A 24,368-nucleotide genomic window follows, 5' to 3' on the forward strand; every position below is an offset into this window, starting at 1 on the left:
TTAGAAAACATTGAATGATTCCTTGCAAATCATGAATAATGATCAATCGAGGAAAACCTATGAAAATGAGAAAATTTTGGAGCCTGAACTAAAAATATCTTGATCACTTTTGGAGGTCAGGAATTCAGATTCATTTTTCTCGGCCTGTAAAGAACTTGAAATTGCATTATAGCAGAATGTAGGCCTTGAGTGGATTGATGTGGAAGCAAAACAAGCCACAAATAAAGACAAATGTGCAACATCAAAAACATGACTTGTGCCATTAATTTTAAGCAGTTTCATATGAAACGTGGGTTTCTTTATTGCTACGTCACAGTCAGATGTTCATGGTCCTGAGTGCTCTCCTCCAAGCAGTGGGCCAGGAGTCCAGGTGCCTTCCTGTGATTGACTTTATCATTTCAGAATCTTTTACTTTCTGCCACATAGAGGAAGGGAAAGAGAATGATAGAAGGGCACTCTGCCTTAGGGAGTAACACATTATTATCTCCACATTATTTTAGTCACAACCAGTCACATGGCCAAGTTAATTGCAAGGGCTGTTGGAAATTGTTGAGAAGTATATTGATTTAGTGACTCATATTGTTTCTGACATACTGTGTCCGGAATTGGTGGGTTCTTGGTTTCACTGACTTCAAGAATGAAGCCGGGGACCCTCGTGGTGAGTGTTACAGTTCTTAAAGGCTGCGTGTGTGGAGTTTGTTCGTTCTGATGTTTGGATGTGTTCGGAGTTTCTTCCTTCTGATGGGTTCGTGGTCTCGCTGGCTCAGGAGTGAAGCTGCAGACCTTCACAGTGAACGTTCCAGCTCTTAAGGCGGCGCCTCTGGAGTTGTTCGTTCCTCCCGGTGGGTTCGTGGTCTCGCTGGCTTCAAGAGTGAAGCTGCAGACCTTCGCGGTGAGCGTTACAGCTCATAAAGGCAGTGTAGACCCAAACAGTGAGCAGCAGCAAGATTTATTGCAAAGAGCGAAAGAACAAAGCTTCCACAGTGTGGAAGGGGACCCGAGCGGGTTGCCACTGCTGGCTCGGGCAGCCTGCTTTTATTCTCTTATCTGGCCCCACCCACATCCTGCTGATTGGTAGAGCCCAGTGGTCTGTTTTGACAGGGCACTGATTGGTGCATTTACAATCCATGAGCTAGACACAAAGGTTCTCCACGTCCCCACCAGATTAGCTAGATACAGAGTGTCCACACAAAGGTTCTCCAAGTCCCCACCAGAGTAGCTAGATACAGAGTGTTGATTGGTGCATTCACAAACCCTGAGCTAGACACAGGGTGCTGATTGGTGTGTTTACAAACCTTGAGCTAGATACAGACTGCCGAGTGGTGTATTTACAATCCCTGAGCTAGACATAAAGGTTCTCCACGTCCCCACCAGAGTAGCTAGATACAGAGTGTTGATTGGTGCATTCACAAACCCTGAGCTAGACACAGGGTGCTGATTGGTGTGTTTACAAACCTTGAGCTAGATACAGACTGCCGATTGGTGTATTTACAATCCCTGAGCTAGACATAAAGGTTCTCCAAGGCCCCACCAGAGTAGCTAGATAGAGTGTTGATTGGTGCATTCACAAACCCTGAGCTAGACACAGGGTGCTGATTGGTGTGTTTACAAACCTTGAGCTAGATACAGAGTGCCAATTGGTGTATTTACAATCCCTTATCTAGACATAAGGGTTCTTCGCATCCCCAGCAAACTCAGGAGCCTAGCCGGCTTCACCCAGTGGATCCCGCACCTGGGCTGCAGGGGGAGCTGCCTGCCAGTCCCCTGCCGTGCGCCCGCACTCTTCAGCCCTTGGGTGGTCGATGGGACTGGGTGCCCTGGAGCAGGGGGCGGCGCTCGTCGGCGAGGCTCGGGCCGCACAGGAGCCCATGAAGGTGGGGAGGCTCAGGCATGGCGCGCTGCAGGTCCCGAGCCCTGCCCCGCAGGAAGGCAGCTAAGGCCCGGCGAGGAATTGAGCACAGCAGCTGCTGGCCCAGGTGCTAAGCCCCTCACTGCCCGCGGCCGGTGGGGCCGGCTGGCGGCTCCGAGTGCGGGGTCCTCGGAGCCCATGCCCACCCGGAACTCCCTCAAGCACGGCGCACAGCCCGGTTCCTGCCCGCGTCTGTCCCTCCACACCTCCTGGCAAGCTGAGGGAGCCGGCTCTGGCCTTGGCCAGCCCAGAAAAGGGCTCCCACAGTGCAGCGGCCGGCTGAAGGGCTCCTCAAGTGCCACCAATGTGGGAGCCCAGGCAGAGGAGGCGCCAAGAGCGAGCGAGGGCTGTGAGGACTGCCAGCACGCTGTCACCTCTCAATACTAATCACTAGTAATTAGCATTATCCCACACCCTGTGCTTCCAAAAATAACAGGAATATTATTGTAAAATCAAAGGCATACTGAACCATATGTTTTATTATGTTTAAGCAGTAAAAATAAGACCTGGAGTGCAAAAAGACTACCAAATGCTGTAATACTTCATGGAATCTAAGCTTTCTCACCCCAAATTATGTCTTATTTCAGAGCAAATAACTTAGGCTTTAAAAAATGTTTCCTCATGAATTATTATTGTATAATGATTCAGAGCATGTATTCTAGAGCCAAATATCATGAGTTGAATTATGCCCTCTGTCAGTTAGTAGCCACTTCATCTTGGAATATTACTTTAGGGCCCTGTGCCTCAGTTTCCTCCTCTTAAAGGGTATTACAATAGTACTTGAGGCACAGAGTTACTGTGAATACTAAATGAAATAATATATCAACAGTGTCTTGTGTATAGTATAAGCCATAATCATTGTATTGTTATTACTATTACTACTATTATTACTATTACTTTTATACTATCCTAGTGTGTAGATTGAGGATGTAGGGGCTTAGAGCAAAGACATGAAGGTCACATATGGGTAGACATGGGAATAAATAGATGAGATGACATTGTCAAGGATTACACGAGTCTTTCTCTGCAAAGCGAGGGAAGGTTAGTCTCTTTCAGAGAACATCATGGCAGAAACATTTTTTCAAGAGAATCCATGCATTTTACGTCCATGTAGTTGCAAACAATGCCAAGTAGAACTCCAATCCAGAGCTAAGTGGGGCTGTGGGAACTATGTACCAATTGATGGACATGCTGCTTTTTGACTCAGAGGTGGATAAGAGACAAAACTCTTTTCTTCTTAGATGTACTAAAAAGTAGTTAGTCTGGAAGTATTTAGAAGGCTTTGGAGAGGAATGTGATTTTATCAGGTAAATCAAAAATAGAGGCTATTTCTGAAAGAAGCAACTAGAACCAAGTTACACACAGAAAATACCCATAATGTACATATATTTTTGACTAGAGTAGCATGTGCAAATTTGTATAAAATATTTGCAGGTAAGTTAGGTAATGCAACATTTGAGACTCTAAGTTTGTGGGAAACTTAGAACTGTTTCAGTTTTCTACATTATTCCTAACTATTTAAAATGCTATGAAATGATTTTGCAGATTTTTCTGAGATGTTTATAGTGATAAGTGAGAATATATGACATAGTCTGTTCCTTTGTTGTATAACTCTGTTTAAAATATCTTTTATATAATGATAAAAAATCTATCTCTTTGTAACTTACCACAGCAGATTTGTATTATTTTATGTGAAGAAACTCAGAATATGGAGTATTTTTTTTCTCAAATTATCACTTTTATAAGGATCTGCTATCTATCCATCTTATTTTCTTTATGTAAACCAGTGTTTTATCTCTTCTCATTTTCTATCAAGGATTAATAGATTTTTGTCATCTTTATTGTCTTTTTTTCTCCAACTTTTTGTATCTACAGGTTCCTACCTTCATTTATATTTTAAAGTAGGTGAGCAAATGCATTTTAACACTCCAAGATAGATTTAGATTAAAACATCTAACCAGGATAAACATTGCTGTCTAAATGTATTTGTTGTTTTAATCTCTTCCGTTATTGTAACATGATGAGGAGACATGGAAAGAAAACTTCTGCTAATTTCTCCTTTAAAGTCACTTCACATTAGTTATCTCTTACATATGAGTCCCTGGCAGTGTCAGTTGACCATTCCTTTTCATGACCCTAAAGACTTCTGATAAATATACTGCATTTTTCTATAGCTCATTTCAACCTACACAAATTATGGGTTTGCATGCCTTTATCCCTAATTAGGCTACACAGCTGTTTAAATTAGGAATTACAGATTTCGCCAGATAATTGTATATCTGATACAGATTAGGCATTTAATAAATTTTGGTGAATAGGTAAACACTAAATTGTTCCTCAAACATTTGTCAGATGTTCACTATGATACCTACTTATTGAGAATCAAGTAAATAGAGATATTCAGACACATTACAGAGAAGTATATACTTACAAACTCAAAGTATTTGACACCCCTAGGCACATGAAACACTTTTGAATATACAGCACACTTTTACATACACATTATTCATAAACATTGCCAATGCATGCAGAAAGAAGCTTAATGTGGATTTTACATATACTTTCATGAACATAGCCTTGCCAACATCCTTTCCCTTTCTGTTAGAGTCACCTGCCTTCATCCATCCCTTGGATATGATACCTTGAGTTATCCCCACACCCAAATCTTCAACAGACAGAAATGTAAAGTCCCGTTTAATGTGTGATAGATGAACTAAATATTCTATCTCAGTATTCATCTGACAGCATAGGAAGGAGAGAAATCCCTCTGTCTCATTTATACCACATATTGTGTTTCTATGGCCGAATCAGCTTAGGTTCTACATTGTGTGGTTTTGGATAAATTACTTAACCTACCTAAGTAAGGCACCTACGTGTCAGTCTCTTCATGTGTAGTCAGGAATTATAATGAAAAGTAACTCGAAGTATTTTTGTGATAATCAGTTAGATAAAAATGTGAACCTCTTAAGACACTAGCAACTTGAATACATAATTGATTTTTTATTCTGTTACAATTATATACTGAACTCATGTGAGGATCCAGTTTCTATATCTAGGCTTTTCAAACTACCTTAGAGAAATACTTGTATATCTTCCTTGTAGGTATAGAGTAAAATACTAACTTCAGGTTTAGTACCAATGCTTATCCATATTATAATTTACATTGCAAGTTTTATTTTCTGTTCCTTATTGGTCAATACTTTTGGATCCAGCTGTTCAACTGTGGTAACACTTGATAATAATGCCAAGAGGCTGGGGTGAGCTATAAGAGGAGTCAAGGCTAATCAGTACAGCAAGAGGAATGAATAAGAAGCTAGATAAAGGGAACGGCGTGGGAGGGTGTTTCCTGAGGGAATATTCATGAGACAAACAGAGAATAAAGAAATGAAGGGAATGTAAATATAATATAGGCATGTTAATATACAAGTGATTTCTAGAAAGTGCATGAATAAGACAGCTAGAAAGATAGAAAGACCTGGCACTTAAAATGTGAATGTGAAACAGTTCTGGCTGAGAGAAATATCTCAGGAATGGCCATGTTCCAGGCTTCAGGGTAGGACCCATGCCAGGGACCCCGCCCTTTTCTGCCTAAAATTTCTCTGCCTCCTGTCCCTATCATTAGGAGGCCAGGGTGGGAGGATTGCTTGAGGTTAGGAATTGGAGAGCAGCCTCGGCAACATAACATGATCCCATATTTACAAAAAATAAAAACATTAGCTAGGTGCAGTGGCATAAACCTGTAGTCCTAGGTACTCAAAAAGCTGAGGAAGAAGGATTGCTTGAGCCCAGGATTTCAAGGCTGCAGTGAGCTGTGATGGCACCACTGCACTCCAGCCTGGGCAACAGAGCAAGATCATGTCTATAAAAATAAATAAATAAATAAATAAATAAGCTTTAGCCACACCAGACAAGTAACATTGTGTATTTTTAAAGGACTGCATTAATAAATTTGGGGGTTTACAGAATGGCAGGTAGTTATCCTTGGGAAGACAATATGCTGATGGGGAAATATAATTACTGCCCTGACTAAACTCACAGTATGACAGAGAATTAACTGTGCTGACTTGATAATTCCTCAGAGCAGATCTCTAAGAGAGCTTATAGACACAACGCCTGCTTCACAAGGTTCTCAAGTATGGCAAACTTGTCAGTCAGGGTGAGACTGAGGATGAGGTCTAAGAGACTTGTCTGGAAGCTGCACTTGTTTGAAAGGACACTGATTTTACTTCAGTGGTGCAATAAATGTCCTTATATATCACTGGATCAGCAGGTGGATGCTGACTTAATAATTGAAAGGATTTTCAAACTAAGAAGTTGTAAAATATAATATATAGGTTATGAATATAATTAAAATTAAAACGCATAAATATACATTTACTTAAGAAAATGAGTGATTTTTAAAATTTATCCTTTTTAATTGATTTTTGACTATTGATACAGGCTGTTTAAAGATCAATAGGCTATAATATCATATTATGTCATCCCTTGCTAACATATGAGTAAACTTGAGCTCTCAACTTGATCTTCCCACTTCTTCTTATTTATAATTAGATACCTCTGTTTCTTAGACTTCGCTATCATACCTTATTTTCAGCACATCGCCCCTAAGTTTGCATTACACATTTACACATTGTTGTAGGCTGTCTTCTTATAACAATCAAGAAAACAGCATCGCAATCCCCTACTGACAAATACATTTGCCATTTTTACAAAAAACCCTTATTCGCCTGAAAATTTTAATACCGCTATGTTTTTTACTCTTACAGACATCCTTTCAGTGGTCAATAGAGATGCAGCTTTCCTAAATGTAGTTTGTATGTTAGCACAATGTGCATTTTAGACCAAACAACAAAGGCAACCAGAAAACGACGTTTCTAAATAGAATAAACTCTGTATGCCAACTTTGGAAAAACAAATAAATAAATTTTACACAGAGAATAACAACTAAAATGACAATGAATAAACCCCCCACGTCCTACTTTCAAAGAACTCTCACAAACAATTCGCACAATAACTGAATCCTTCAGGAGTAGTCATTTATTAGTTTTTATTTTTCCTGCATCCAAATGGGCCTTCTAATTTGGAGAAATACTGCATTATTTAGCTTTAGTTTTCAGTAAGTATTTTCTTATCAAATCTCTGGAATATTTTCAGAGTGCTCACTGTCCAGATGTAAAATAAATATGAAAGATTTCTTAAGTGAAGCAGAGAGAATTTAGAATGGAATAATTATATACTGGGTTCTGAACATGGACTTTCAATCAGAAAAGAAAATATTAGAAGCAAGCTCAACGAGAACTTAAAAATTGGAAGAAACAGCAGTCTTCAGAGAGGAATGAATGCAACTTTTGAGATTAGTTTCCTATAAGGAGATCAGCTGCAAATACTAGCGCAGAACTAGCAGTAGATGAAGAAATTGTCATCCCCTGTTACACTAATAGCAAGTGGTAGACTGCGGTTCAGACCCAATGAACAGCATAAAGACTTACAAACACTTTGAAGAAGATTGAAGGAAGAAACTATTCCATCAGTGAAAAATTTCTAAAATATAACATTACCTTTGCCAAGTTTTTGCATTAATTATCAAAACTATTTCATGAAGTGAAAAAGTCTCGAGATTTTTTATGTGAGAAGCAAGAGGGGAAATAGAAATGGGTGGTGATATCTAAATTTATAGTTGGTTATTTTTTTCAGAAGAAAAATGTCAGGAGACAAAATAGAAAGCTGGAAAGAAGAAAAAGTATTAAGTTAGTTTCAGCAGACAATGGGAAGAAGGAAAACGGGGCTGGGATATCTGGCTTCCACGAGATGATAAGAAATGTGTTTGCTGCTATTTAGCTGTTAGTCTGTATCACACGCCTTTTAGTAGTAAAATATGCCAGTCTACTAAGGGAAATTACATTTCATGAGTAAGCTTCCTAAAGTTCTAGATATTTGCTGTTTAGCCTCACACAAGTTTGCTTACTAATCAAGCAAGATCCTTTTCAGAGTAACTAGTTTCAAAGTATGGAGATGAAAATATGATCATGTATTATTCAAATTCACCTTTATAAGACACATAAAATGTACCTCCAACTGCACATTTTTCTTTAGATGAACTGTATTTGACCCAAGCTGCTTTAGTCCACTTATCTTGACTATTTCTGAAATCATAGTTACTCTTCTTTTGGATTGTTATATCTCCTCTGCTTCCTGTATTCTTTTTCTTCAGCATCACTGGCATTCCCTCTTTATTAGGTGATATATATATATATATATATATACACACACACACACACATATGTATAAAAATTTCTCGCTCACATCAGCTTTTTCATGTGATAATTAAAATTGAATCTAACTCTGAGGAAAAAAAAGTGTGGATATAAAACCAGGGTTCCTTTTCAGTAATGGGAGAGGCCCAGAAATCCTAGAGATCTTGAGATTCTGAAATAAGGGCTCAAGCCCTACTCTGCCCAGAAAATAGGCGAATAATGCTTCTTTGAATCTGCTTGGTCTTGATGCTATAAATGATAGGATTCACGAATGGAGGAAAGAGAAAATGGACATAGCTCATGGTAATGGGGACCACATGAGGTGCATGTTTCCCAAACCTGTGAATGAATGACAGTCCCATCACAGTGATGTGAAATACTAGGACACAGCTAATATGGGAGACACAAGTGTTGAGAGATTTAGCTTCCTCTTGTCCAGACGCAATGCCCATCACTGTCTTGAGGATTAGTATATAAGAAAAGATGATGATTAGAGCATCTAAAAAGACAGTCAAAGAAGTCTGAATAATTGGATATATGTGATTAAACGTGATATCAGCACAGGCGAGTTTTATGACATCTTGATGGAGGCAAAATGTGTGCAAGAGGGCACGGGAACCACAATATGGGTAGCAGTAGAGTGAAAGAATTATGGGCAAAATGGACATAAAACCTCTCATCAGTACCCCCAGTCCTATGTTCATCACTCGGGAATTGGTAAGAATGCAGTTGTACCTCAGTGGTGTGCGGATGGCAATGAAACAGTCATAGGCCAAAACAAGCAAGATACCTGATTCTACAATGGCCAGTGAATGAATGAAGGATTGGGTGAAACAGGCAGCATGGGCAATCTCCCTCTGGTCTAGCAGCAGGACACCCAGGACTGTGGGCATTGTAGTGAATGTCATCCCAAGGTCCGTGTCTGCCAGCATAGCCAGGAAGTAGTACATGGGCTCATGGAGGCTGTGATCATTCCAAATGAGGACAAGAAGAGTGCCATTTCCAAAAAGGACGGAGAAGTAGATGACAAAGAAGGACATAGAGATCCGGTAGTGAACTGCCTCTGAGCCCAAGAAGCCAGTCAGCAAGAAGGGGCCAGCACTGTTGTTATACCACATGGTAGGTTTTGCAGGTGGAGAAGATATTTTTTAGGGGTGATGACCTCCAAAGATGCAGTTTTCTTTTTTCTCTCACAATCTTCTTGTAGCACATCATCAGGCCATTTTTTACCTCAAAACTTAAATATTTTTCTGGATTGTCTCATACTTAATTAATTGTAAGCCTGTACTCACAAGGCCTTTCCCTAGAATAACAAATAACAAAAATCATGGTCAGAATAATAATTCCAATTCACTATGAAGCATACAACCTTTATTTTTTCAACACTCATCTTACGTCTGTGCTCATAGCCTTGACTCTTGGTCCCAAATAGGACTCCTTTGTTCCCTTTTATTCTCTTTACTCTTTTATTCCTCCTCCTATTATTTATCATATGGGCCCTTACTGTGTTACTATCCAAGTTGAGTCAGTTCAAATTTTTTCTCTTGAAACTAATGGGACAGCTGTATTTAGGATTAACCACTGAGGAAAATGCTTATTCAATAGAAATGACTGAGAAATATTGTGATCAATGTTGCTATCTCAAGTGGACTGTGAATAAGAAGAGAACCCAGCCTGGGCAACATAGCTAGACCCTGCCTCCACCAAAAAAAAAAGAAAAGATAAAAATTAGCTGGGCACAGGGGCACACATCACCTGAGCCCAGGACTGTGAGGCTGCAGGGAGCTATGATTGCAGCACTGCTCTCCAGCCTGGGCAACGGAGTCAGACTCTGTCTCTATAAAAAATAAAATAAAATAAAACGAAAGAAAATAACTCATCTATTGTGAGTTTCCACAGAAATCTGAACACCTGAACAAGTGGGTAAAGTTAGTAAACTCATTTTAGAAAGGTGTAATTACTCAGTGGACTTGGGACTCAGCAAGTTCCCTATGCTGCAAAAAGTCTGAGTTTTGGCACATTAGGGACAAACATGAAAATAGGAGACTCATGTTGGAAGCTCATAACGGAAATATTTTAAGGACATACTTCTACAATGAGGGCCTCCACAAAAGCCTAATACTTGTTAGAGTCATAGATTCGTAAGTATGTTGATCTGAAGGGCAATAGTAATATCGGAAGTTGGTAATTGAGTTAATAAACTTCACACAACCAGTTCTAGGGAAAAGATAAGCACTCCCAGAGAGAAAATACGGCAACTATGTTGCTGATGGAGACAATCTTACAGACCCTCTAATCATTATGAATCTGTAAGACTCGTATTGAGAAAAATTCACAAGGATCCTCATAGGGAACTATGAAGTCTATTTATAATTAATATTTATTTATATTTATAATTACACTTTTACAAAGTCAAGATTTTTGTTGTTGTGATACCAAGAAATTTTGTAGCAGGTTTATTGGGAAAACAAAGAGAACTACAAGGGAAACTCAGTTTCTCCCAAATTCAATTGATTCTGTATGTGTCCAGAGTCTTTTAAAATATCATTCAATATTATAAATATTACTACCGACACCTTTGAAGTGTAATTCAGTAAAAATGAAGTGATAACAATCTTTGCACCTTTTTTATTTTATAAAAACCTATAGAAACAATAATAATTATATGTTTCAGAATTTTGGCACATAGTAACATCTCTAATATAAGCAATTATTGGTGGAGAGAGATGGACAGAGGAAAGGTGAAAGGACTTTTGAAAGGGCTGCTACTTCAGGGGACACTGTTGATAACAAAAATGTCAGTCTAGGCACTGCAGTAGCAGAGACTATGTTCATATGGATACTAAAAACACTGCTAACTAACTTGATCCACTGAATTATGACCTGCATAGTGCTTAATGTGGCAGAACTTATCTACCGCCACAGGAGTGATGTGTATATCATTATAAGTTCTCTTAACCTTCCAATGTTGCCTTATAAGAGAATGGATTAATGCCAAAATTTGTTGTACAGGATAAGAGCTAACCACTTATTTGGATCTACTGTCACCCAGATAATGGACCAGATGGAGGAAGCCGGAGGAGGCCTGATTATTCTTAAACTATAGTCGTGTTTTCAAAACCTGAGCTGCGTTTGGGACATGCGGATGCACAGGGTTTTATTAAAACTGTGTGGTAATTACTGGGGAAATAGTTAATACAATTTATAAGTATATTTTATTGACCTAAAGATAGCCCTCTATTTAACATCTGCAGTCTCTAGCAAAACAGCTACGCTGGCATTTAATTGTGGCAAATTTGGTAGTACCAGAAACTGTCCACATACCCAAATATTCCAGGGAGAATAGTTGCCCTAATAGTTTAGGGAGTCTCCTAGAATGTGATACATGACAAAAGTGAGAGTCATAACTTTAGTGGAATTTATCACTCTCAGGCAAGCATAGAGGCCCCCTGAGGGATGCAAAAATGACTGGCTCACTGTTCTCTTGCCCCTTTCTGAGTGCCTTTGGACTGATTCTTTGACAGCAACTATCCCAGAGTCCTCAAGAGTTTCTGAAGGTAACATAGATCCATCATCCAGAGCTTCTTCAACTTGCCATGCTGACAAAAAGCTTAGGAACTGTTCAGGAAACCATTTATAAAGACATAAACTAAAATGAGAAGACAAAAAGAGAATATTAAGATCGTGTTAAAAAAGAACAGTCTTCCGTTTAGTTCCAGATAATCTGCAAGTGCCCTGTACAATCAGTGTCCCCTGAATCCACTTTTTCATCTCCACATATTGCCCCAAAATTGTGTTCCTATAGAAGAAATTAATAAATATACCAAAATAAATATTTAAAGTCAACTGACAATGGGAAGCCATGAGATGAAGACAAAATATCTGAAAAATCTCAGCTTTTAAGTGACTTTTTTATATCTTACCTTAAGTACAAATTAAAATGGAAGAGGTGGCCAGGCACAGAGGCTCATGCCTGTAATCCTAGCACTTTGGAAGGCTGAGGTGGATCACGAGGTCAGCAGTTTGAGACTAGCCTGGCCAACATGGTGAAACCCTGTCTCTACTAAAAATACAAAAATTAGCTGGGTGTGGTGGTGAGCGCCTGTAATCCCAGCTACTCGGGAGGCTGAGGCAGGAGAATTGCTTTAAAAAAACTGGGGAGCAGAGGTCGTCGCAGTGAGCCAAGATTGTGCCACTGCACTACAGCCTGGGCGACAAAGCAAGGCTCTGTCTCAAAAAAAAAAAAAAAAAAGGTTTGGAGAGAAACATTGGGAAACTAGGACAAATTTTGCTCTCAGTAAAAAGAAAGATCTCAAAGGAGATAGACAAAGAAGCAGGCACAGATGTAAGAGGATAGCAAAGTTGATCTGTATTTACAAAAAAACAATGAAAAGGGAAGTTTATAGGAGTGGATACTATGGTAGGTTAATAGTGAAAAATATAGAATTATCAATTAATATAAACATAGAGGTGTTGATTGTTTGGGGCAACTAGGTCTTTGGTAATATTGACAATTTCAACATAATGGCAGAAATGAATGCCTAATGACTGTGAGACAAAAAGTGAGTAAAAAACAGCTGGGCACGGTGGCTCATGCCTATAATCCCAGCACTTTGGGAGGCCGAGGAGGGTGGATCACTTGAGTTCAGGAGTTCGAGACCAGCTGGGCCAACATGGCAAAACACCATCACTACTATAATTACAAAAATAAGCCAGGTGTGGTGGCACATGATCATAATCCCAGCTACTCTGGAGGCTGAGGCATGAGAATCCCCTGAACCCTGGTGGAGGAGGTCGCAGTGAGCTGAGATCGCACCACTGCACTCTAGCCTGGGCAACAGAGAAAAATCTGTTAAAGAGAGAGAGAGAAAAGAAAAGTGAGTAAAAAACAAGAAAGTAAAGACAATATATTATTTTATTTATATTGTTATGGTGAGGAAATTGAGCCTTAGACAAGTTAAGCAATTAGCCTAAGATCACGCAACTAATATGTGTCATAAAGGAATTCAAACACAGGTTTATCTAACCCAAAACCCAAGCTCATATTCTCAACCAATGTCCATCAAATGGAAATGGTTAAACTTGCTTCCCGTATTTGAATCCTTGGCTTTTCTTACCTGAGCCACAGTTTTCTCTTTGCGGTTTCTGAGCATGACCTGAATATTGGTTGTTTGCTATATCCTCAGTATTTACTCTTAATTCTGATGAGAGATATATTTGTTACACAAACAACTCTCAAGGGGTTATTCTAGCTCATTTCCACATAGGATATTTGGGAATAGTGTACCAAATAATTCTCTTTTCCTCCCCAACCTGGGAAAGATCTGGGCCATTGAAACTGGTCCCCATGGCCTTTATTTTTTCTTTGGAAGGAGAGTCTCTAAGAGAAGTTGTGTCTCTAACATCAGATGAGGCATGACCGAAATGAGTCACTCTCAAGTGTTCCATTGGTCTTAGAGTGGGAAGACCAGTCACTTTGTCTTTGTAAATGTTAACATTTGAAGAACATTGCCCCTTTTCAAACTGTATTATATTCTCTAATTCAACCCTTTACAAAATCCTTGAGCCACCACCAAACCTTTTCGTCTTGATGATTATTCATCAGACATTTATTTATTCTTTCTATTGATTCAAAACTCACTACCCTACCCTGAGCTATCTCATTCATATATATGTGGGTTTCATTTAATTATTTAGTATATGTATATATGGTATTTACTATCAATATATGTATGCATAGGTGTGTATGTGTGTGTGTATATATATATTCACAGACAGAGACAGTGAGAGAGAGAGAGAGACATATACTTCTCTGAAACATATAATATCTACTCCTTATATTTAGGTCTGATCTCCAGAATAAAATAACCATATATTAGCCATTATATTCATACATAATTTTTTTCTAGATGTATAAAGATATCTGCATTAAAAACCCTAAGACTTCTTTCCTGATGGGTGAACCAATATCAACAGTCCTTTAAATGTTTATCATGTAATTATTCCTAATCCTGATTTATTTCCTATGATGCTCCACCTTATTGAACATAATAATCCAGATGTTGTCATATTAGTCCCATTCTGAAATCTCTTTTTTCATTGGATTATGTGCTGAGTTTCTATTTAAGTAGTCTAAGATCGTGCAGATACACAACTCTACCCTAAACTCTTATCTCAAAACATGTCAAATTCAGTCTTTCAGATTTAAAATAGTGATAAAATGCATATTCTACATAATATATGTGACACTCGCAGCAAGTTACTCTATTTACTATCACCTGTTTATACTTAGGGGAAAAAAACCTAAATATCCTCTCATATATTCAGGTAAGATTTTGCCAAAACGTGATTTTAGGTCATACAGCAATAAATGCATTCCAGAATTCATTTTGCAGAACCTGTTGATTCTAGACTTGTAGCTAAGAAGTGACGGCTTGGTAAATAACCATATCATAAAGTCAGTTCTCTTTGTACTCACAGTAAAACAAAACTTCTGAAAGATTTTAAGTGAGTGACATTTTCAGTGCTTAAAATGGAGCTTAACATATAGTGGGTGCTCAGTAAGTACTAGTTAAGCAAATGAATGCTATTCTTGTGATCAAGCCATTGGTTTTGTAGCCAAATTGTAGACCTTTACAACCTCTACATCTGTTTGTAATAAGATTACTAGTTCAAGCATGCCAAACAATGCTATCTCCTTTTCTTTATTGTTTAGTACTTCGATGTCTCTAATTTTTACATCAATCATGGTTCAGAGAAAAATCCATAACAACATCAAGAAGAAAGATTTTTTGAAGTTTCCTTCCTTCCTCCCTCCCTCCCTCCCCCTTCCCCCTTCCCCCTTCCCTCCTTCCCTCCTTCCCTCATTCCTTCCTTTCTTTTTTCTTTCTTTCCTTATTTCTCTCTCTCTTTTTCTTCCTTCCTTCCTTTCTTTCTCCCTTTCCTTTCCTTTCCTTTTATTCTCTTTTCTTTTCTTTCCTCTCTTTTGAGACAGTGTCTTGCTCTGTCACCCAGGAGGGAGTGCAGTGGTGAGATCATAGTTTACTGCAGCCTCAAGCTTTTAGGCTTAAGTGATTTTTACACCTCAGCCTCCCAAATAGCTGTGACCACATGAGAAGAGACATTTATGTGTTTTTTTCCTTCTTAGTACTTTGGCTGCAAGTGAGTCTCAAGGTAAGATGTTTTAACCACTTATGGAACTTATATTCTCCCATTCCAATGAAAAGACTACTTTGAAAATGTTTTTGTTGATGTCTAAATACACCAAGTCTACAATTTCCTGTGATCTATCTATACTACTAAATAGCTAGACCAATACATGAAAAGAAACTCTTATTCTCAATAAAGAACTGTACCCCAACAATAATATATCAGACATTATATGTCTTTTTTATCTTCTTTGTGTCTTATCAGTTATGTTACCATATAGGAAGAGAAAGAAAATTATAAGTGAAATCACTGTGTACCATCTCACATCTATGCAAGGCAAATAGGACTAATAGTACAGGGACAAGGCTGAAAGGAGACATTTTAAGGTTGAAGGTATGCAGTAAAACTTGTTTTCTGGAGATTACGTTGAAAGAAGTTACAGTCAGTCAATCTAATGAGGTTGTAGAAGATGAAACAACTAAGCTGGTGCTCCTGGTAATGACTTGATACCTGCGAAGTGTCTAAATATGTATAGAGGAGTTGATAATATAGACCAATTGCACTTTGGGCCCCTGCTGAGTAAGATTTTGTGTCAACTAAACAAAACGATAGGAAATTGTATTTCCCCAAAGACATTTTGGAAACGTTCTCCTTCAGCACCAATGGTAGCACCTGGAACTGACCATCCAACTTCCAAGCCAAACAACTTCACCCATAAATCTACATTCCTCCAATCTCTTTCCTCCATCATGGAAACAGCCCTGCATATTCAAAAGTGAGTGTCCCTCTCTTATACCTCGTCAGAGAGATTCAAATATTGTCATATTCACAATCCACAACAGGCCCAGATAACCGTTCAGTGATGCTGGTCATCACTGAAGATAGATTGAATCTTCCTTTCTTCTTGGACGTAAATTGCAGGTTATTGAAAAAACTATAACTTGAAGTTTCATAGCAGAAAGTTGGCATCTTTCTCACTAAGCATGAGAAAAACTAACAGAGTTTTAATTTGAAGGGCCTTAGCCAACTTAGCTGAAGTCCCTTCCACCTAAGATAAAGCTGTAAAAGAGGAGCAGATGTATAATTTAGATATTGGAGCAGCATGCAGTATCAAAATACCTCATGAGCACCAAAGAAGCCATATATTTTTCACAGTTTCTATTCTTCCAAAATAACTTACAAAGACAGTCTTTCCTCTGTCATAAGAACCTGCACCCAGGTCAGCAAATCAAGATGGAAATGATCGGGGTTGAAATTTCCTACCAACACACTAATAAACATTAGGAACTTACTGGGCACATTATGAGAAACAGAGGAGTCTTTGGGGGATAACCAGATTTTAAGATTTGTGTTTATACTCAGTATCAATAGCTTAAACATTGTACTCAATAGCATATAATTTTGCTTACAGCATGCATTGGGTAAATAATCGGTTTTACAATTGATTCAGTATGAAAAAGTTTTAATACAAGGACATACAGAAAACTTGCGCCTACACCTATTTTTTTAAGCATTCCATAGATTGGATCTCATTTCTCTCCACATTTTTATGTCTTCCCAATATAAAACTTTACTCAGGCCGGGCGCGGTGGCTCACGCCTGTAATCCCAGCACTTTGGGAGGCCGAGGCGGGTGGATCACGAGGTCGGGAGATCGAGACCATCCTGGCTAACACAGTGAAACCCCGTCTCTACTAAAAAGACAAAAAAATTTGCCTGGCGTGGTGGCGGGCGCCTGTAGTCCCAGCTACTCGGGAGGCTGAGGCAGGAGAATGGCGTGAACCCGGGAGGCAGAGCTTGCAGTGAGCTGAGATCACGCCACTGCACTCCAGCCTGGGCGACAGAGCGAGACTCCATCTCAAAAACAAAACAAAACAAAGCAAAAAAAACTTTACTCAGTGAAGTCCAGAGCAAAGATTTGTTGCAAACAAATCACCAGTTCTTATCTTTCTCCGTGAAAATGTACCTGTAAAATGTGGATGCCACATATTTTTAGGTCTGGAAGGATTGCATTATCTTTTATCTGTATTGCATTATCATAAAATCTCTAGTTGAGTGAAAAAATTTGTTAAATCATTTCTTTAACTGAAAACTGAACCCAGGAGGCAGAGGTTGCAGTCAGCCGAGATCAAGGCACTGAAAACTTCCTTTCTCCAGAAAGCTTGTCTCATTTTCTTCTTCCATGGAATATTCCAAGGAATATTCTTTGAAAAGCAGAATATTCAGAGTGAGAGGAAGTAGAGAGATATATTTAGGTAGAATCTGGGCATATTGAAGGGAAGACATCAATAATTCACAGTAGCCAAGGAATAGAAACAATACAAGTATCTATCAACAGATGCGTATATCAACAAAATGTCTTATATATGTGATAGAATATTATTTATCTATAAAAAGTAGGTCTGACACATGCTACAACATGAATAAACCTTAAAAAACTATCCTAAGTGCAATAAGTCATACGCAAAAGAACATTGTCTGATTTCACTTACATGAGCTATCTAGAATAGGCAAATTCATAGAGACAAAAAGTAGATTAGAAGTTACCAGAGTGTAGGAAGAACATGGATTGGGGAGTAACTGATTAATCAATATAGAGTTTTTATTTGGTGTAATACAAAATTTTAGAAATAGTGGTGGTGATTGCACAACATGGCAAATGTAATAAGTGCCACTGCATTATACATTATAAAAAGGCTAAAGTGGCAAATTGTATATATTACCACTATAAAAATAAAACAATAAATGTATTTCAATTCATTAAATTTATTGTGAAAGGTTTAAAAACAAGAGTTTGAGGTTAAAAATTATGTCTAAGATAAAATATTAAAAGATTTATTCCACATGTGCAGGTGTCCACACACACATGCAAACACAACTATATATATACATACTAGGATAAAGTCTCTTATATCTTAAAGACCATTTATTTGATTTTAATAAATAGAATAGGATGGTTGACTCAACAATTTCACTTGAGAGAAAGAATCAAGCATAGATTATTTTCAGTTCCATATGGTCCTCCTCAAATATCTATGATTGGACATCTGTGAAGGCATGCCGCAAATCTAGGGTAACTAACATAAGCACTCATGAAAAAACTTCATTTTTCAATAAATTCTTGTTATTTACTCATCTGGTAATTCAGAATTTAGTTAATCCATCTTCCTATTTATGTTTGTATCAGATTATCTGGCTCTAACCAGTTGTATCATATAATTGATATATTATCTCACGTTTGGCAGTATTTTTTGGACTGCTATTTTAAAACTGGGTCTACTTCAGTGAATGACACCCAAGAAAAACCCGGATCTATCCTGCTTTCTCCTAGGATAGTGAGCCACTGTTTCACTTATTCTCTGACCTTCTTTGGGTGTCATCTGCTTCAGTTTGTTTCTGTTGTCTTGCATCTGTAAATTCTCATCATTTTCTGACATATGTCTTGCCTTTACTATGACTCTTCATGATCAGGCAAAAAGAAATACATACTGAAATGATTTGAATGAATGATTTTTTTAATTATTAAGCTAATATTTTGTTTTTAAAAGTCTAGTTCTACAGTTTGAAATACTTCCTTCAATTGCTTTCTTAAATCACATGTTTATTATTTTGACTCATTCTCAGTGTCCCACAACTTTAAAAATTATAATGATTCTTCTTATTTATAGACAATACATAATCAGTGACTGCCTTTCTTTTGGCACTGCCTTTCTTCCAAGAACATGTCAGAAATTGATGGTGATTTTTGCTCCTTTCCAACTCTTTCTTTCCTCTGCTTTTCTAAATAACCTGTAAACCTTATTATATTTAGACCTTAAATATTTGTCATATCTCTCCATTACCATTTCCACTTTCCTAAATTGAGTTACTATTATCTTTCTTCAAATTACTCTAATATTCTGCCCTTTCCCTGCCTCCCTCAATTCCATTTTATAAATAATATTGAAGTAATTTTAAAACATCAATGAATTATGCAGCTTCTTTCAGTAGCTTTCCATGACTCCGAGTAGAGACTCAAACTCTTATGATGACCAATAAGGCCATTCCTTCCCTCTTCAGCCTCTTCTCAAAGCAAACACCCTCTTCCAGTAGCCACCTTCCCTAATATAAACCAACCTAGCTGAGGTCTCCACACACACTCCTTCAGTCTTAGAATATTCTTGTCTGTATTTTCACCAGTTAGTTTCTAATCCATTTTCAGGTCTCAGCTGAAGGGACACTTTCTCAGGGAATCTTACCCTTATTTCAAGCCATAACCTCAAGCCTTTTTTGAGACCCACACTCTCCATTCAGTGTCTTCTTTCTGCTTTATGATTAATCACAGCACTTGTTTTAAATTTGGATTTCTTTTATTCTTTGAGTCCCCACTTATTTGAAGACTTTAAGAAGAAAAGTTTGTCTATTTGCTCTCTTATATCATTTTTGCTTAGCAAGGTGACCCATAATAGTGCCCTTAAAAAATTAACCAAAGGAATGATTAAATATTAGTGGTGTTTCCACGAAAATAGGCACATGAGGAATGATTTAAAGTCCTACTCTCCTCCAAACACAAACCCTTTTAAACATAGGATATGTACAAATAAATTAGGCAAAAGTATAAGAAAAAGATATAAATAAACCTGAAGTCAGCAAGGGCTTTGATAGTATGGCTCCAATACTTCAGTAGATAAAGTAAATAATAAAATAATGTATATGTAAGCTTTTAAATTGTGTATATAGCAAGACAAACAGAAAACTGGGAAAATACGTACACTAAAAATAAAACACTAGAGATAATACATAATAAACTTCTTAAAATCAATTATAAAAGGATGAAAATTAGCAAAATATATGATCAAATAAATCCTAGTGAGATTTCCAAGTTGCTGCAACAAATTGAGATCACTTGTGATTTATTAGAATAAAAAATAAATTGAATATACAAAAAGGAAAATATCAGATTATATTTCATCTATTGGACATATCAGAAATGTTTCTATCCAGCATTTAGAGAGAACACAAGATCAAAAGAAATACATTAACTCATGAAATGAGCAACTAGGAAATTTATGAATTTAGAGAGTCTCTACTGTAAAACTTTATAGATGACATTGTATCATTTTGAAAGAAAACTCAAGACACCAAAAGCAACTGCAAAAAAAAATTGACAAATGGGATCTAATTAAATTAAAGAGCTTCTGCACAGCAAAAGAAACTATCATCAGAGATAACAGACAACCTACAGAATAGAAGAAAATTTTTGCAATTTCTCCATCTGACAAAAGTCTAATATCTGGAGTCTATGAGGAACTAAAACAAATTTACAAGAAAAAAACAACCCCATTAAAAAGTGGGGAATGACATGAATAGACACTTCTCTAAAGAAGACATTCATGCTTCTAATAAACATATGAAAAAAAAAAAGCTCAACCTTACTGGTCATTAGAAAAATGCAAATCAAAACCACAATGGGATACCATCTCACACCAGTCAGAATGGCAATTATTAAAAAGTCAAGAAACAACAGTTGCTGGCAAGGTTGCAGAGAGAAAGGAATGGAATGCTTTTACACTGTTAACGGGAGAGTAAATTAGTTCAAACATTGTGGAAGAGAGTGTAGCCTTTCCTCAAAGATGTAGAAGCAGAAATACCACTTGACTCAGCAATCTCATTACTGGGTATATACCCAAAGGAATATAAATCAATCTATTATAAAAATACAGGCATGCTTATGTTCATTGCAGCATTATTCATAATAGCCAAGATGTGGAATCAACCCAAATGTCCATCAATGATAGAGTGGATAAAGAAAACGTGGTACATATATACCATGGAATACTATACAGCCATAAAAAGGAAAAGGATTGTGTTCCTTGCAGGGACATGAATGGAGCTGGAAGCCATTATCCTCATCAAACTAACACAGGAACAGAAAACCAAACACACATGTTCTCACACAGAAATGGGAGCTGAACAGTGAGAACACATGGACACTTGTGGGGAACAACACACACAGGGGCCTGTCCGGTAGTGGGTGGGGAGGAGAGGGAGAGCACCAGGAAGAATAGCTAACGAATGCAGCAAACCTGCATGGCACACATTTACCTATGTAATAAACCTGCACATCCTGCACATGTGCCCTGGAACTTAAAATATATTATGTTGGTACAAAAGTAATTTCTGTGAACTGCAATTACCTTTGCACCTACCTAATAAGTTGAAGGAAAATAAAATCTATTTTAAAAAAAAAAAAAAAAAAGGAAAATCTACCCTGAAATAGAGTAGTTTTGAGATTATAGTAGAGTTCCATGACCTCAATTCACATGCTATAATTCATCTTTATATGGCCAAAACTAGATCTGCAATTGCACATTTTTCCTTCTGTAGGCTTTGGTTGAACTAGACTGGCCACTTGACTCTTCCTAAAATGGTACTTTCAGTTCTTATGAATACAGGTTATGAATAACCATATTTTCCCTGATTATTAGGGTATTTATCTACATGTTTTATCTCCATATTCAATAGTATTCCACTTTCCTAGTATCTCTCAATAGATAGGTAAATTATAGATATATCTCCCTCGATAAAGCTTTACATCTACATATGAATACATTTATACATATATTTATGTATTTATCAATTGATCAATTGATGGATACATTCATTGTATTATTGTTCCATGTAGCTTTTCACTTTAGATAATAGTTAAAGCCTATCTAACACTGATACAAGAGATATTGGGTATAAAATAAGCTCCTTTCCAATTACTCAAAAGGCCCAGAAATCATGAAGATCACAAAATTCTGAAAAAAGGGCTCAAGCCATTCTGTGCCCAGAAAATAGGCGAACAATGCTTCTTTGGATCTGCTTGGTTTGATGCTGTATATAATAGGGTTCATGAATGGAGGAAAAAGAAATGAGTCATTAGCTCACGGTAATGTGCACCACATGTGGTGCATGTTTCCCAAACCTGTGAATGAAAGTCTCACTGATCACGGTGATGTGAAATACCAAGACACAGCTGATATGGGAGACACACATGTTGAGAGCTTTGGCTTGCTCTTTTCTGGAGGCAATACCTTTAACTGTTTTAAGGATCAGGATATAAGAAAAGACAATGATCAGAGCGTCTAGGAAGAAAATCAAAGCAACCAGAATAGCTGGGTATAAGTGATTGAATGTAATATCAGCACAGGCAAGTTTCAGGACATCTTGATGGAGAAAAAAGGTGTGGAAGAGAACATGGGAATGACAATATGGGAAGCAATGGAGTGGCAGAATTGGAGGCACGAGGGATAAAAAGTCCCTCATAAATAGCCACAGTTCTATCTTCACCCAAGATTTAGTAGAAATAGTTATACCTGAGAAGCATGTGGATGATAATGAAACGGTCATAGGCCATTGACAGGAGAATACCTGATTCTGCAAGTGGATAATGGGAGTGGATAATGTAAACCTGCAAGAAGCAGGCCCCATGGATAACCTCTTTGTGATTCATCCACAAGACGCCCATTACAGTGGGCATCATGGTCAATTTCACCATGAGGTCTTGCCTCAGTGTGGCAAGGAAACAGTACATGGGTTCGTGAAGACTGTGGTCATGCTTGATGAGGTAGAGGAGCTTGCCATTGCCAAGAAGGACGCACACATAAACAGCAAAGAAGGGGATGGAGATCGAGTGATAAGTTGCCTCCAGTACTGAAAAGCCAGGCAGCAAAAAAGGAGCCGCATTGTGTGTTCACAAGTGGCAAGTAGCTTTATAGAAACTATTACACTGAAATCCCTGCCTTATCAGTTTTTACTACCTTCTTGTGAAACTGTATTTCTGCAGCCTCAATCCTAATATTCATATTTAGCAATAATTTATTGGTATATGCATGAATGTGCAACAATTTTCTTATAGAAGAGCAATACATTTATAGACTGTGCTAGAGATAAGGAATGATGATCATTTCTTCAGTTATGAATAATTAAGTAGTTAAGCATTCTTAATCTAAAAAACACATTTTAAAAAATGCATCATGCCCCTCTGTGGTGTGCTTGCTGCACAATGTTTGAACCAATAGTAACAAAAAAGAAGGCAAATATATGCAATTAGATAATAATTGTACATAGTTAACCTGCTGCTTAGCTTAATTGCATATTTGGATACATTTAAACTTGATTTTTATTTTATGTTTCACAATCATGATATAGACATAGTGTTTTGTTAGAAAACTTTTCTTTGTTTAGTTTTGAAATAGAATGTTAATGTTTTATGGAATTCTAACAAAAGCCATGAGCCCTCTGTGGAGAAAAATGGACAAAAGCAGGTGACGTCACATTTAGTCTAAAAATATTCACACGTTTTCCTGAAGCTAATCCATGAGCACCACATTTGAAACTTCAAGCCTGCCTTGAAACATGTGTTGAGATGAAAAAGTCTGTGCTTTAGGTGTTGGTCATCCCAGATGGAGTATGTTCTCCTATGCAGACCTCTGAAAATCTTCCTATCTTCTCTTCGCTGCATCTAACATAAGAAGGAAGAGGAATCATTCCTTATTCCTGTTCCTGGCACTCACCTATGCTGTCATTTTCTTGCTGGAATAAGGACCCATTCCTGCTCTATTTGAAGACTCAGTTCAGACACTCACTTCTCAAAGACTATTCAAGAGGCCAAATTAGAGAGTTTATGTATGTGGAAATCACTTCCCCAGAGTTTCCTCTTTCCAAATACTCAGAAGAACCCTTGATCTCCCCTCCCTCCTCTGTCTGGGAGAAGCAGGGACGCTCAACCAATGTCCTCGGAACTTTCAGGTATTTCTCCAAGGATGGATGAGAAAAGCTGCATACTCCAATGCCACCTCTACATTGGGATGCCAGGACTTAATTATGTGACCCTTCAGGACCCTAAGCATCAGTACACAGTATATCCATGTGTGTACTTTGCATTGTCTGTCTCAATACAATGCAAAGTATTGAGAGATACTAGTTGAATGCAGGGTCACATGTGTCTTTGTCCTGGAGTTTATGCATTTCAATTGCATTGTTGTCTTTTCTGATACTTTGGGAAAATCAGTTCTGATCCACAGGAACCTC

General features: G+C 37.8%; 1 protein-coding gene and 1 pseudogene across 1 annotated transcript, besides 21 other annotated features; both read right to left on the minus strand.

The window, feature by feature from the left end:
- Positions 1 to 11,521: part of a biological region, named in NCBI's record as "beta-globin locus control region", that runs on past the window's edge. NCBI's record gives its function as "regulatory_interactions: HBB | HBBP1 | HBD | HBE1 | HBG1 | HBG2 | LOC107133510 | LOC110006319".
- Positions 595 to 1,698: an enhancer, noted in NCBI's record as "1.1 kb fragment of the LTR-GFP construct spanning 14 U3 enhancer repeats, the U3 promoter, and the R and U5 regions of the ERV-9 LTR". NCBI's record gives its function as "transcriptional enhancer in transfected K562, embryonic and hematopoietic cells, and in oocytes and progenitor cells of transgenic zebrafish; activates transcription of downstream DNA preferentially in erythroid cells {active_cell/tissue: hematopoietic | K562 | oocytes(transgenic zebrafish) | progenitor cells(transgenic zebrafish)}" and the evidence as "EXISTENCE:reporter gene assay evidence [ECO:0000049][PMID:9878258, PMID:11836419]" and "EXISTENCE:transgenic organism evidence [ECO:0001131][PMID:14718667]".
- Positions 595 to 2,289: a mobile genetic element, noted in NCBI's record as "ERV-9 erythroid enhancer upstream of 5'HS5".
- Positions 955 to 2,299: an enhancer, noted in NCBI's record as "(E-P-r)-GFP construct fragment containing the U3 enhancer and promoter and 5' half of the R region". NCBI's record gives its function as "ERV-9 LTR enhancer activity in various embryonic tissues and in adult blood lineage cells" and the evidence as "EXISTENCE:reporter gene assay evidence [ECO:0000049][PMID:11836419]".
- Positions 1,010 to 1,097: a promoter, noted in NCBI's record as "U3 promoter region in the ERV-9 LTR". NCBI's record gives its function as "transcription of the R region and downstream sequence" and the evidence as "EXISTENCE:reporter gene assay evidence [ECO:0000049][PMID:11836419]".
- Positions 1,035 to 1,040: a TATA box, noted in NCBI's record as "AATAAA motif 25 bases upstream of the transcription initiation site". NCBI's record gives its function as "TATA box for the U3 promoter in the ERV-9 LTR" and the evidence as "EXISTENCE:motif similarity evidence [ECO:0000028][PMID:9878258, PMID:11836419]".
- Positions 1,038 to 1,098: a protein binding site, noted in NCBI's record as "NF-Y-binding promoter probe P". NCBI's record gives its function as "binds NF-Y in K562 erythroleukemia cells {active_cell/tissue: K562}" and the evidence as "EXISTENCE:protein binding evidence [ECO:0000024][PMID:16105833]".
- Positions 1,038 to 1,098: a protein binding site, noted in NCBI's record as "GATA-2-binding promoter probe P". NCBI's record gives its function as "binds GATA-2 in K562 erythroleukemia cells {active_cell/tissue: K562}" and the evidence as "EXISTENCE:protein binding evidence [ECO:0000024][PMID:16105833]".
- Positions 1,038 to 1,098: a protein binding site, noted in NCBI's record as "Sp1-binding promoter probe P". NCBI's record gives its function as "binds Sp1 in K562 erythroleukemia cells {active_cell/tissue: K562}" and the evidence as "EXISTENCE:protein binding evidence [ECO:0000024][PMID:16105833]".
- Positions 1,261 to 1,312: a protein binding site, noted in NCBI's record as "E2 GATA-2-binding probe". NCBI's record gives its function as "binds GATA-2 in K562 erythroleukemia cells {active_cell/tissue: K562}" and the evidence as "EXISTENCE:protein binding evidence [ECO:0000024][PMID:16105833]".
- Positions 1,350 to 1,386: a protein binding site, noted in NCBI's record as "E2 NF-Y-binding probe; binds to CCAAT motif". NCBI's record gives its function as "binds NF-Y in K562 erythroleukemia cells {active_cell/tissue: K562}" and the evidence as "EXISTENCE:protein binding evidence [ECO:0000024][PMID:16105833]".
- Positions 1,350 to 1,386: a protein binding site, noted in NCBI's record as "E4 GATA-2-binding probe". NCBI's record gives its function as "binds GATA-2 in K562 erythroleukemia cells {active_cell/tissue: K562}" and the evidence as "EXISTENCE:protein binding evidence [ECO:0000024][PMID:16105833]".
- Positions 1,351 to 1,376: a protein binding site, noted in NCBI's record as "E4 (MZF) MZF1-binding probe". NCBI's record gives its function as "binds MZF in K562 erythroleukemia cells {active_cell/tissue: K562}" and the evidence as "EXISTENCE:protein binding evidence [ECO:0000024][PMID:16105833]".
- Positions 1,421 to 1,472: a protein binding site, noted in NCBI's record as "E2 NF-Y-binding probe; binds to CCAAT motif". NCBI's record gives its function as "binds NF-Y in K562 erythroleukemia cells {active_cell/tissue: K562}" and the evidence as "EXISTENCE:protein binding evidence [ECO:0000024][PMID:16105833]".
- Positions 1,421 to 1,472: a protein binding site, noted in NCBI's record as "E2 GATA-2-binding probe". NCBI's record gives its function as "binds GATA-2 in K562 erythroleukemia cells {active_cell/tissue: K562}" and the evidence as "EXISTENCE:protein binding evidence [ECO:0000024][PMID:16105833]".
- Positions 1,469 to 1,509: a protein binding site, noted in NCBI's record as "E1 GATA-2-binding probe". NCBI's record gives its function as "binds GATA-2 in K562 erythroleukemia cells {active_cell/tissue: K562}" and the evidence as "EXISTENCE:protein binding evidence [ECO:0000024][PMID:16105833]".
- Positions 1,469 to 1,509: a protein binding site, noted in NCBI's record as "E1 NF-Y-binding probe; binds to CCAAT motif". NCBI's record gives its function as "binds NF-Y in K562 erythroleukemia and PA-1 teratocarcinoma cells {active_cell/tissue: K562 | PA-1}" and the evidence as "EXISTENCE:protein binding evidence [ECO:0000024][PMID:16105833]".
- Positions 1,579 to 1,630: a protein binding site, noted in NCBI's record as "E2 NF-Y-binding probe; binds to CCAAT motif". NCBI's record gives its function as "binds NF-Y in K562 erythroleukemia cells {active_cell/tissue: K562}" and the evidence as "EXISTENCE:protein binding evidence [ECO:0000024][PMID:16105833]".
- Positions 1,579 to 1,630: a protein binding site, noted in NCBI's record as "E2 GATA-2-binding probe". NCBI's record gives its function as "binds GATA-2 in K562 erythroleukemia cells {active_cell/tissue: K562}" and the evidence as "EXISTENCE:protein binding evidence [ECO:0000024][PMID:16105833]".
- Positions 4,722 to 5,521: a DNaseI hypersensitive site, noted in NCBI's record as "5'HS6, also known as HS6 or HSVI; observed in fetal liver but not fetal brain; the nucleotide coordinates are approximate for this feature". NCBI's record gives its function as "chromatin accessibility in fetal liver {active_cell/tissue: liver(fetal)}" and the evidence as "EXISTENCE:in vivo cleavage assay evidence [ECO:0001075][PMID:10220430]".
- OR51B4 (olfactory receptor family 51 subfamily B member 4) lies at positions 8,349 to 9,281 on the minus strand. Its single transcript, NM_033179.2, has one exon. The coding sequence runs from the start codon at positions 9,279 to 9,281 to the stop codon at positions 8,349 to 8,351; it is 933 nt and encodes a 310-aa protein (NP_149419.2).
- Positions 10,722 to 11,521: a DNaseI hypersensitive site, noted in NCBI's record as "5'HS7, also known as HS7 or HSVII; observed in fetal liver but not fetal brain; the nucleotide coordinates are approximate for this feature". NCBI's record gives its function as "chromatin accessibility in fetal liver {active_cell/tissue: liver(fetal)}" and the evidence as "EXISTENCE:in vivo cleavage assay evidence [ECO:0001075][PMID:10220430]".
- Positions 22,080 to 23,028, minus strand: OR51B3P (olfactory receptor family 51 subfamily B member 3 pseudogene; annotated as a pseudogene).

This window comes from Homo sapiens, chromosome 11, assembly GCF_000001405.40.
Source record: "Homo sapiens chromosome 11, GRCh38.p14 Primary Assembly".
In the NCBI taxonomy this organism is placed as follows: Eukaryota; Metazoa; Chordata; class Mammalia; order Primates; family Hominidae; genus Homo; species Homo sapiens.

What these genes read in the sequence shown, in the direction of transcription:
- OR51B4 (NM_033179.2), bottom strand. Translation starts at nt 9,281, where the DNA reads ATGTGGTATAACAACAGTGCTGGCCCCTTCTTGCTGACTGGCTTCTTG.